The 12,654-nt window shown below is 41.3% G+C and overlaps 1 annotated feature.

Moving 5' to 3' along the window:
• Positions 12,188-12,277: an enhancer, noted in NCBI's record as "active region_30008". NCBI's record gives its function as "activates an Ori minimal core promoter by ATAC-STARR-seq in GM12878 lymphoblastoid cells {active_cell/tissue: GM12878}" and the evidence as "EXISTENCE:reporter gene assay evidence [ECO:0000049][PMID:35858748]".

Consider the following 12,654-nt stretch of genomic DNA (forward strand, 5'->3'; position numbering starts at 1 on the left):
ACTTGGATGGAGCTTGAGGTCAGTAATCTAAGTGAAGTAACTTAGGAATGGAAAACCAAATATCATATGTTATCACTTATAAGTGGAAGCTAAGCTATGAGGACACAAAAGCACAAGAATTATATAATGGTCTTTGGGGACTCTGGGGGAAGGGTGGGAGGGGGTGAGGGATAAGAGTACATACTGGGTATAGTGTACACTGCTCAGGTAATGAGTGCATCAAAATCTCAGAAATCACCGCTAAAGAACTTATCCATGTAACCAAAAATTACCTGTTCCTCAAAAACTTTCTAAATTAAAATTAAAAAATAAAATAAATCAGGGAAGCAACCAGCCTGCCTATTTCATTCCTCCCTGAGAGATTGTATCCTCCTTATTCTTAAGGGGTTCTGGGTGAAGGTCTTTTTTTCTGTAGCTACTTTCTGCTGAGCATGGGCATACTCCCTATCTTTATCCCTGGGAGGAACAGTCATCTCTCATAACTTGGTAAAGAGGCCAATATGGTCTGGACTGGCGGCCTACAGAATTGGCTGGAAGCCTTGTATGACAACTAACTTGACATAAAATTGTTATCTGGAACACAAAAATTTTACTAGTAGGTTAAACAAACATTAAACAAACAACAGCCCAGAAATTAATAGAAAAAGCATGGCCAGTAAGGGCCCCAAGAAGGGAAGAAACCAAGTTATATAGGGTAAGGCTGATTTTACAGCATTCCATATCGAGTCAGCTGTTGGATTCCCTTTACCTAAAGAGTGTAGCCACTTTGCCTGATTACAAATTGTTTGGATGTTAACTTCTATTTGCCCTGTAGTATTTATCCAAGTACAGCGGGAGGTGTTGGCGACAGTGCATATGCCTCCTTGTTCTGCCAATAGATAGTCTAGGTCTAAGTGGTTATCCAACACCACATTAGCAAGAAAATTGATGGAGGTCTTCAGAACTTTCAGAGCCTTTCCTGTCTTGTCTACTATATGACCAGTCTGTCATGTCAGATTACATAAGGTTACCTCACAGTAAGGGAAGACTCCGTAAAAGGCTACTAGTCCAATATTTAGGCCTATTCCCACTGTGACCATGCCGAGGCCTCACCTTGCTCAACTAGGGGCCTGATGTTGGCAGGTAGAGTTACAGAAGATTACTTCATTTATCATTTCCAAGGCACATTTACCCACGAATTGTATATTGTCTATGCAAGAATAGGCCTGAGCCAGTGGAGAAAATGTATAAGAGAAGTAGGACGTGACCCATGGGAGGTGGCTATTAGGGTGACCATAAAGAAAAACAATTCTGGGAGGAGTGCAAATGCAAATGTCCTCCTGGGTGTTATTGAGAATTGTGAGGTTCAGGTTATTAATTGTGCAACTGGGGCCTTGATAATTGTCTGTGTGTTGCTCCATGATTTAATGTACTAGGTAGTCAGGGATGACCTTTGAGGTACCTTGGAGTATGGCAGATCTGCCCCCGTAACTGAGCTTGTAAATTGCTGTGAACCCTTGGGGCAGTGTAAAGCCGTATTTCTAAAGTGGTGGGATGTTACCCTGCCAGTATTCACATTGCTCTGAGTGATCAGAAAGCGTTTTGCTAGCAGGTTTGGGCCCATATATTTTTAGTAATTCTATAGGGCACCAATGAGTTAACTTATATGTGCAGAATTTTAAGTTACAGGCGGGGTACCAAGTAAAGTTGTAATGAGAAGGAAAATTGCAAGGAATACATCCTGCTCAGGTGTAGTTTAATTCCTCATTTTCTATAGCGAGAGAATAGTTTTTAGCTGGGGGAAGGGCATAACAAGGAACTTGATGGGTAGGAAGCAGTCTGGCAGCTAAAGGATAGGGTTTAGATAGCTGGCCTCTATTTAAGTGATATATGATCAGGTTTAGGGTAGACAGGTTTAAGGATCTGCAAAAGGAACACCCAAAGAGAATTGGGGGTGCCTGTGACAAATCCAGCAGTTAGAAAGGGATTCTCCTCTACTGATGATTTTGGAGAAGCTGACTAGGCTATTGCGATTCCAGGGGCCTTGCACCCAGACTAAAAGGAAGAGGGTATAATGAGAGCATGATTAATATTCAAGGCAGGATGCCAGTTTGGTTAATAATTATGCACTTGTAAGTGACTTGATTCTAGCCAATAGGGAGCAGACAGAGTGATGTCAACCAGTAGATTATTAAGAAAACACTAACAATTAACAGGAAGAGTAAGCACACTCATATCAGTTATTTATTTAAGAGTATTGCTTAGTTTTATTGCTGCCTTCCAGAGGCAGCTTCCTGAACAAATACTTGAGGTCCTCTGTAGGCTTCCCGGAGTAGACTGTTTCCTCTGAAAAGGCCTGTTCATCAGGAGAAGCAAAAGGTTTTATTCTAGAGACATGGACTCAAGTCGGAAGTCCTTCCAACGTTATGACTGTTGGAGTGGACAAGATAACCTGGTAAGGACCCTTCTATTTTTCAGTTAACTGATCCTCCGGGTTTCCTTCTCACCAAGTCTTGAGTAGGACCTGTGAACCTGGGCTAACACGGAAATGATCTGAAATCCCCTTTCCTAGCTGAGGTAATCTTATTACTATATTGAATGATTGACTGCTGAACTCGTCCCAAGTTAATGATGTATTTTAGAGCCTGATTTAAATCTTCATCTAGCAGAAAGCTTGTTTTGAGAAAAGGCCACCCACAGATCATTTCAAAGGGGTTCAGCTTTATGTTTCCCTTTGGGACAGCTTTTAATCTTAGTAAGGCAATAGAAAGAAACTTAATCTGTGATTCCTTGGTGTTTTGGCATAGTTTAGCCAAGGTTTTGTTTGTTTGTTTGTTTGTTTCTTAAAGAGTTTGGTTTATTCTTTCAACCTTCCTGGAATACTGAGAATGTCAGGTGGAGTGAAGTTTGTACTGGATGCCAAGACTGCTAGACAGTCCTTGGGTGACCCGGGTGATAAAAGATGGCCTGTTGTCACTTTGTAGGGAGGCTGAGAGCCTTAACCTAGGAATTATTTTTTTTAAGCAGCCATTTACAAACTTTAGATACTTTCTCTGTCCACATGGGAAAAGCTTTCCCCCAGCCTGTGAAAGTGTCTGCCAAAAATAAAAGATATTTGAATCCCCCTTTGGGAGCATCTGTGAAAAATCAGTTTGCAATCCCCTCCAAGACAGGTCCCCCAGTGTTGCACTAGAGCAGTCAGAGGTGGAGCCGGTAGATGGGCTTGGGGATTATTTCTAAGACAAATTTCATATGCCTGAATTACCTGATCCACTGTGGTTTTTAAAGCCTTGCCCAGTAGGAGATTTTGAATTAAATTTCATAGTGAGCCCCTCCTATAATAAGTTGCCTCATGAAGGCCCTTTATGATTTTCCACTGGTCAGCTTCTGGTAAGAAAAGGCATCCTTGCTAATCTTCTAGACATCCCTGACCATTTAAATTGTATCCCTCCTCCTCTGGCAATTTCTGTTTTAATTGGCTCTATTGGGGATTTCAAGGCAAAGTGGAGGGTCTTATTACAAGGGCCAAAGTGTCAGGTTACCCTATCCACGCTGCCTGTTTGGCACTTTATCAGCCTGGTTGTTTCCTTGGTTGATCAAAGAACTGTCCTTTTGGTGCCCTTTACAGTGTATAACAGCTATTTGGTCAGGGAGTTGAACTGACTCAAAAAAGGATAGAATCACTTCCTTATCTTTTATCAGGGAGCTCCTAGCAATCAATATTAACCTCTCTTTCTAGACGGCTGCATGAGCATGGAGCACCAGGAATCTATACTTAGAGTCAGTAGATACATTAAGTCTTCTTCCTTCCCCAAGCTGAAGAGCCCCGAGTAGGGCTCTGAGCTCTTTTCCTGAGCTGAAGTGCTTAGGGGAAGTGCTTTGTTTCTGTGGCTTAGTTTAGGCTGACAGCATGTCCTGCCTTCCAGACTCCATTCTCTACAAAGGTACTCCCATGTAAACCATTCTTCATCTGGATTTTCTAAGAGGGTGTCCTGTAGGTCCATTCAGCTAGAATAGGTCTTCTCTAAAGTCTCCAAACAGGTGTGTTCCGGTGTCTCGAAAGTGAGTGACGGAAGCAGGGTGGCAGGTTTCAAGGTCTAACATACCTTTAAGGTCTGGGGTGTCCAGTAGCAGGGCCTGGTATTGAGTTAACCTCCCCCCAGTCAACCAGTGGTGCCCTTCTATTTCTAACACATCCTGGACCTGGTGGGGAGTGTAAACGTCAAGGAGTTGGCCTGTGTGAGTTTGGAGACCTCTCTAACCAGGAGGCTAGGGGCTGCCAGTGCTCTAAGGCAGCTGGGCCACCCCTGGGCTATTGGGTGTAATTGCTTTGAAAAGTAAGCCACTGGCCTTTGAAGAGGCCCTAGCTTCTGAATTAGGACTTCCAGGGCTTATCCATACCTCTCATGTACAAAAAGAAAGAAAGTCTTCCACAAATCTGGGCAAGTTCCACACATCCCAAGGCAGGAGCCTGCCAAAACTCAGATTTTAGAGTTTCATATGCTTGCTAGAAAACCTTTTTCCCAGTGGAACAGTTCTTTTTCTCCACCCTTGAGTACCTCATAAAGGGGTTTAACTATGAGGTCAAAGTTTGGGACCCAAATCTGACAGAAGCTGGCCATCCCCAGAAATCCCCATAGCTCTCTTCTATTACCAGGGACCAGTAGGAAGCAATTGCCTTTTTTCAGTCTGGGGTGAGTATTCTGGCTCCTGCAGTAAGTATGAATCCTAGATAGTGAACCTGTATCTTGGAGATCTGAGTCTTTGAATAGGAGCTCTTATATCCGTAGTCAGCCAAGGAACTTAAGATTTTAGTAGTATTTTGTTGAGAATCATGGAAGTCCTCACTAAGAATAAGCAAATTGTCCCCATCTTGCATACACCCTTTCAGGACTGAGCCAGGAAGGAATTGAGTCCCTAAACAGACCAATAATGAGCTCTGAAATTGAATCAATAATAAATAGCCTACCAATCAAAAAAAAAAAAAAAAAAAACCTGGCACCTGATGGATTCACAGCTGAATTCTACAAGATTTACAAAGAAGAGCTGGTACAATTCCTACAGAAACTATTCCAAGAAAATTGAGGAGGATGGAATCCTCCCCAATTCATTCTATGAAGCCAGAATCATCTTGATACCAAAACATGGCAGAGACACAACAAAAAAAGAAAACTTCAGGCCAATATCCTTGATGAACATTGATGCAAAAATCCTCAGCAAAATACCTGCAAAACAAATTCATCAGCACATTAAAAAGCTAATCCACCATGATCAAGTAGGCCTCATCCCTGGGATGCAAGTTTGGTTCAACATACTCAAATCAATAAATATGATTCACCCCATAAACAGAACTAAAGACAAAAATTGCATGAGTATGTCAATCGATGCAGAAAAGGCTTTAAATAAAATTCAACACCGCTTCATGTTAAAACTCTTAAAAAATTAGGAATTGAGGGAACATACCTCAAAATAATAAGGGCCATCTATGAAAAACCCACAGTCAATATTCATACTAAATGGGCAAAAGCTAAAAACATTCCCCTTGAAAACCAGCACAAGGCAAGGATGCCCTGTCTCACCACTTCTATTCAACATAGTATTGGAAGTCCTAGCCACAGCAATCAGGCAAGAGAAAGAGATAAAGGACATCTAAATATGATGAGAGGAAGTCAAACTATCTCTGTTTGCAGATGATATAATTTTATATCTAGAAAATCACACAGTCTCAGTTGAAAATCTCCTCCAGCTGATAAATAATTTCAGCAAAGTTGCAGGGTACAATATCAATGTACAAAAATTACTAGCATTCCTATACACCAACAACAGCCAAACCAAGAGCCAAATCAGAAAAGCAATCCCACTCGCAATTGCCACAAAAAGAATAAAATACCTAGGAATACAGCTAACCAGGGAGATGAAATGTCTCTATAATGAGAATTATGAAACACTGCTGAAAGAAATCAGAGAAGACATAAACAAATGGAAAATCATCTCATGATCATGGTTAGGTAGAATAAATATCATTAAAATGTCTATACTGCCCAAAGCAATTTACAGATTTAGTGCTGTTCCTATTAAACTACCAAGGCCATTCTTCATAGAACTAGAAAAAAAAACTATTTTAAAATTCATATGGAACCAAAAAAGAGCCTGAATAGCCAAGGCACTGCTAAGGAAAAAGAACAAAGTTGGAGGCATAATGTTACCTGACTTCAAACTATACTACAAGGCTATAGTAACCAAAACAGCATGGTATTGGTACAAAAACAGTCATGTAGACCAATGGAACAGAATAGCCTAGAAATAAGGCCACACATCTATGACCATCTGCCCTTTGACAAAGCTGACAAAAACTAGCAATGGAGAAAAGACTCCCTATTCAATAAATGGCGCTGGGATAACTGGCTAGCCATGTGCAGAAGATTGAAGCTGGACGCCTTCCTTATACCATACACAATAACCAACTCAAGATGAATTAAAGACTTAAATGTAAAACCAAAAACTCTAAAAACTTGGAAGACAGCCCAGGTAATACCATCCTGGACATAGGCATGGGCAGAGATTTCATGATGAAGACACCAAAAGCAATCATGACAAAAGCAAAAATTGAAAAGTGGGATCTAATTAAACTTAAGAACTTCTGCACAGCAAAAGAAACTATCAACAGAGTGAACAGACAACCTAGAGAGTGGGAGAAAATATTTGCAAACTATGCATGTGACAAAAGTCTAATATGCAGCATCTATAAGGGACTTAAACAAATTTACAAGACAAAAACAACCCCATTAAAAAGTGGACAAAGGACATGAACAGACACTTCTCGAAAGAATACATTCATGTGGCCAAAAAACATGTGAAAGAAAGCTCAACATTATTGATCATTAGAGAAATGCAAATCAAATCCACAATGAAATACCATCTCATGCCAGTCAGAATGGTGATTATTAAAAAGTCAAAAAATAACAGATACTGGCAAGGTTACCAAGAATAAGGAACACTTTTACATTGTTGGTGGGAGTGTAAATTATTTCAACCATTGTGGAAGACAATGTGGTGATTCCACAAAGACCTAGAAGCAGAAATACCATTTGACCCAGCAATCCTATTACTGAGTATATACCCAAAGGAATATAAATCGTTCTATTATAAAGATACATGCATGCGTATGTTCATTGCGGTGCTATTCACAATAGCAAAGACATGGAAGCAACTTAAATGCCCATCAATGACCAGCTTGGATAAAGAAAATGTGGTGCATATACACCTTGGAATACTATGCAGCCATGAAAAAGGAATGAGATCATATCCTCTGTAGGGACATAGATGGAGCTGGAGGCCATTATCCTTAGCAAAAAAACAGAGGAACAGAAAACCAAATACCACATGTTCTCACTTATAAGTGGGAGCTTAATGATGAAAACACATGGACACATAGATGTGAACAACATGCCCTGGGGCCTGTCAAAGAGTGGAGGGTGAGAGGAGGGAAAGGAAAGGAACAATTAACTATTGTGTACTAGGCTTAATACCTGAGTGATGAAATGATATGTATATCAAAGCCCCGTGACATGTGTTTACCTATGTAACAAACTTTCATATGTACCCCCAAACCTAAAATAAAAGTTAAAAAAAAAAAGGCTGGGTGCAGTGGCTCACACCTGTAATCCCAGCCCTTTGGGAGACTGAGGTGGGCGGATCACGAGGTCAGGAGATTGAGACCATCCTGGCTAACACGGTGAAACCCCGTCTCTACTAAAAATACAAAACAAATTACCTGACGTGGTGGCGGGCACCTGTAGTCCCAGCTACTCAGGAGGCTGAGGCAAGAGAATGGTGTGAACCCGGGAGGCAGAGCTTGCAGTGAGCTGAGATTGCGCCACTGCACTCTAGCCTGGGGGATAGAGCAAGACTCTGTCTAAAAAAAAAAAAAAAAAAAAAAAAAAGATATTAAAAGACACACTACAGACCTGTAGAAAATATTTGTGTATTATAAACTTGCTAAGAATTGTATTAAGAATGTATAAAAAACTCATTCAACTCAATAATAATAAAAGTTAAAATCTATTTATTTTATTTTATTATTATTATACTTTAAGTTTTAGGGTACACGTGCACAATGTGCAGGTTAGTTACATATGTATACATGTGCTGTGCTGGTGTGCTGCACCCATTAACTCGTCATTTAGCATTAGGTATATCTCCTAAAGCTATCCCTCCCCCCTCCCCCCACCCCACAACAGTCCCCAGATAGTGATGTTCCCCTTCCTGTGTCCATGTGTTCTCACTGTTCAATTCCCACCTATGAGTGAGAATATGTGGTGTTTGGTTTTTTGTTCTTGCGATAGTTTACTGAGAATGATGATTTCCAATTTCATCCATGTCCCTACAAAGGACATGAACTCATCATTTTTTATGGCTACATAGTATTCCATGGTGTATATGTGCCACATTTTCTTGATCCAGTCTATCATTGTTGGACATTTGGGTTGGTTCCAAGTCTTTGCTATTGTGAATAGTGCCGCAATAAACATACGTGTGCATGTGTCTTTATAGCAGCATGATTTATAGTCCTTTGGGTATATACCCAGTAATGGGATGGCTGGGTCAAATGGTATTTCTAGTTCTAGATCCCTGAGGAATCACCACACTGACTTCTACAAGGGTTGAACTAGTTTACAGTCCCACCAACAGTGTAAAAGTGTTCCTATTTCTCCACATCCTTTCCAGCACCTGTTGTTTCCTGACTTTTTAATGATTGCCATTCTAACTGGTGTCAGATGGTATCTCATTGTGGTTTTGATTTGCATTTCTCTGATGGCCAGGGATGGTGAGCATTTTTTCATGTGTTTTTTGGCTGCATAAATGTCTTCTTTTGAGAAGTGTCTGTTCATGTCCTTCGCCCACTTTTTGATGGGGTTGTTTGTTTTTTTCTTGTAAATTTGTTTGAGTTCATTGTAGATTCTGGATATTAGCCCTTTGTCAGATGAGTAGGTTGCGAAAATTTTCTCCCATTTTGTAGGTTGCCTGTTCACTCTGATGGTAGTTTCTTTTGCCGTGCAGAAGCTCTTTAGTTGAATTAGATCCCATTTGTCAATTTTGTCTTTTGTTGCCATTGCTTTTGGTGTTGTAGACATGAAGTCCTTGCCCACGCCTATGTCCTGAATGGTAATGCCTAAGTTTTCTTCTAGGGTTTTTATGGTTTTAGGTCTAACGTTTAAGTCTTTAATCCATCTTGAATTAATTTTTGTATAAGGTGTAAGGAAGGGATCCAGTTTCAGCTTTCTACATATGGCTAACCAGTTTTCCCAGCACCATTTATTAAATAGGGAATCCTTTCCCCATTGCTTGTTTTTCTCAGGTTTGTCAAAGATCAGATAGTTGTAGACATGCAGCGTTATTTCTGAGGGCTCTGTTCTGTTCCATTGATCTATGTCTCTGTTTTGGTAACAGTATCATGCCGTTTTGGTTACTGTAGCCTTGTAGTATAGTTTGAAGTCAGGTACCACTTCTATTTTTTTTTAAAAAAAGAAAAGGGTACATGTATCCAAACTGTCCTTCCAGCGCCATCTGTTACCTCCCAGAGGGGAAAGTATCTCTGAGCTGGTGGAGAAGTAAAGGAAGGTGCAAGCTTGGAACCTGATCAGAGCCCCATTGGGAATAGCATTGGAGGTTGTTGGGAAGTGGAAGGGGAAGTCCTTCCTGACCCAGCCTAATATGGAGGAGGCTCAGAGTGAGAGGAAGGAGGACCCACCAGGGCAGAAGGACTCATTGCTCCTGCCTTCCCCTGGAGAGGTGTTGAGAAGACAGCATCTACAGGGTCAAAGTCTAAAGCAGAAATTGGCTCCTCTTTCAACTGTTTAAGAGATGCCACACAGACTCTGCAGGAGTCCCGGAGTTTTGGATCCTGGTTTAATTTTATAAAAGCCAGCACATATGGGATCTCAATGCATTTATTAGAAATTTTCTGCAATACAATTTCAATTGTAAATAGTGTTATAACTCAAAGACCCCATTCCTAGGCTGTGTCTCTTTGTCCCCCTGGGGATTCCAAAGCCAAGCAACATTACAGAGAAACATCAGCTTCTTTTTCTTTAGATTATCCAATTCAAATTCATCTCAATTACTCAGGATGCATCCTAGGGAGAAATCTTTTGGTATGCCTGCAGTGTTTTCCGTGGTAGACCTGGTGTCCTATGATTAAGTAGCCTGGTGAGGGATGGAACCCTTGGCTCTGACAAACCCCTCTTCTTCCCACCCAACCCAGACCCTCAGAAACCTGGTGAGAACCAGGCAAGACAAGGAGGACAGAGGGAAGGGAGCTGACTGAGGGAGCTTGAGAGACTCTAGCTCTCAAATTTTCTGGCCACAGCCCTCAAAATCTAATAGGTTGTAGATTTTGCACCAGCTCTAAGTAGAACCTACTGTATATTTACATTCATTGGCACTGACTCTATCAAGAGATAACATGATGGACTAGACAAACCAAAAAAGTAAAGTGGTGATCTGGTCTAGTGAGTAAGGCCTTCTCCCAGGAATTGTGAAGGGTCAGGCTCACATGCAACAAAGACCATCAAAGGAAGTACATTTTCACTTAGACAAATGACAAAACAGATTTCCAGTTTCCAGACCCCATAAAGAAGACAAAAATTGAGGAAAGTACTGAGAAATTTCAAAGTCTGAGACAAAAGGGAACTCCAGGTTGCTGACTACTTTTTAGCCAGCTCACGAACAGGGGACAATTTTTCAGCTCAATACCAGAAAGCTGAGCCAGATTCACTCCAGCTACCCAAACAAAATACCAGATGGGTAAATAGGAATCACTCCCATTGGCCAAACAGAAACTGAAACCAGGGTTCCAAGAGCTGATTAATTAAACACCAGGACTCCTGAAGAGTCAAAACAGACTGAAAAGGAAGAAGGTGAAGGGAAAAAAAGGAAAGCAAAGGGAAGATAGAAGATGAATGAAAGGGAACGGGGACACACTCAGAGTCTGGATCTGATTCACCAAGGCGCTAACACTGAAACAGTGGTCCAGAGTGCCAGCTTTTGTTCATGTCTGGTCAGACACCTCCATCCTCTGGGCAATCTCACTCACTCTCCTGGGACCTAAAAGGAGAGCCTCACCTGGGGTGCCACAAAATGTTACCAGCATCATGGATTCTTGTGATTGCCCAGGATAGAAACCAAAAGAGATAACCAAACATAGCAGCAAAGGAAAGTTTATTCCGCTTGTGCACAGGGGAGTCAGCACCAAGAAGGGAAAAGAAATGGGTTGCTTATCGAGGGTAGTCTGTGAGTTAGGTTTACAGGAGTTTTCTACAGGAAAGTATTACATTCGAGCATGTATAGGAGTAGGAGGGATTTTTCTAGTGCTTGTGCATTGGCTCAACATGCTTTTTCATACATCATATGTAGAATTAGCATTTTACATCTCCACCTCTGGGCATGATTTTTAACATTAAAATAAGGAAGGGGTAACTGTAGTTCGAAGTTTAACTCTAACTGCACATGCAGGGCCCTGGGGAAGTCCCTAGCCCCCGAAGCAGGAATTTGTGGTTAACAGCTTCTTGGGTCTTTTATTACTGATTGGTTGAGAGTTAGGTAAGCTACAGCTTGAGTAAGGAACTTGCATTCTTTTACTCCAGACCATATTAAAACAGGGAACCAACCAGCCTGCCTGTCTCATAGCTAGTTTGCTTTAATCTGTTCCCAGCTTACCTTCCTTTTCTCAGATGAAATGAGACTCATGTTAACCAAAATGCCATCCTACCTTTTGTCTTTTGACTAGACACATTGTAGAGGTTTGGATTTGTTAACCTGGAATGGGAAAGGCTGAGAGGGGAAATGATCCTGGGTATGCTAATGAGCAGAAAGAAAACAAGGATGGCACGGATACCTCTCTCTCCCCCTTCTATGTGTGTCCTCTACCTGTTGTACATTCGTATGAGATAGGTATTAATATAACCTACACTTCGTAGGTGACGAAACAGTCTCAGAGAGTGAAAGGGACTTGACCAAAGTCACAGAGCCAGTGAGTGACAGGGTCAGGGAGAGAAGCCACGTCTGCATGACTCAAAGCTTATGTCTCTAATTACCCTACATACTACCCCGCCGCCTTTGCAAGTTATAAATAGGTCATGCTGGCTTTACTCATTAAGTCCTGGGTTGCTAAAGTGAAAGAAAAACTTCCTTCCCAGTATGCCTTGTACACATCCTGAAACTGAAAGAAAGCACTTTAGAACAAATTAAAGGCAGTTGTCTTCTGTGTCTTAGGGAACAAAAATACTAATTGTATTTTTAACCTCAAATTGTAGAGCCTGAAAAGACTGGCTTGAGAAGGAGCCTAGGTCATTCCCTGGACACCTAGAGGTCTAGAGGGCATAATAGAGGTCCACAAGTTTTTCTCAATGTGAAACAAACAATAATCCTCCCAACCAGACAGAGAATTTACATACGCTCCCTTTCAGACCGGGCAGGCAGACAAAGTCACAAGTGCTTTGACTTTGGGCTAAGGATTCTGTCAGGTCCATCAATCCTTTAACCTCACCTTCACAGCCATGATAGCTAACCCTGACTGAACACTTTCTGTATGCCAGCCACTGTTCCACTTCCTTTACTCCTCATAACAACCCTGAGGTTATGACTAGTATCACCTCTATTTTGCAGAAACTTGAG

The sequence above is a fragment of the Homo sapiens genome, chromosome X (genome assembly GCF_000001405.40).
Source record: "Homo sapiens chromosome X, GRCh38.p14 Primary Assembly".
Lineage (NCBI taxonomy): Eukaryota > Metazoa > Chordata > Mammalia > Primates > Hominidae > Homo > Homo sapiens.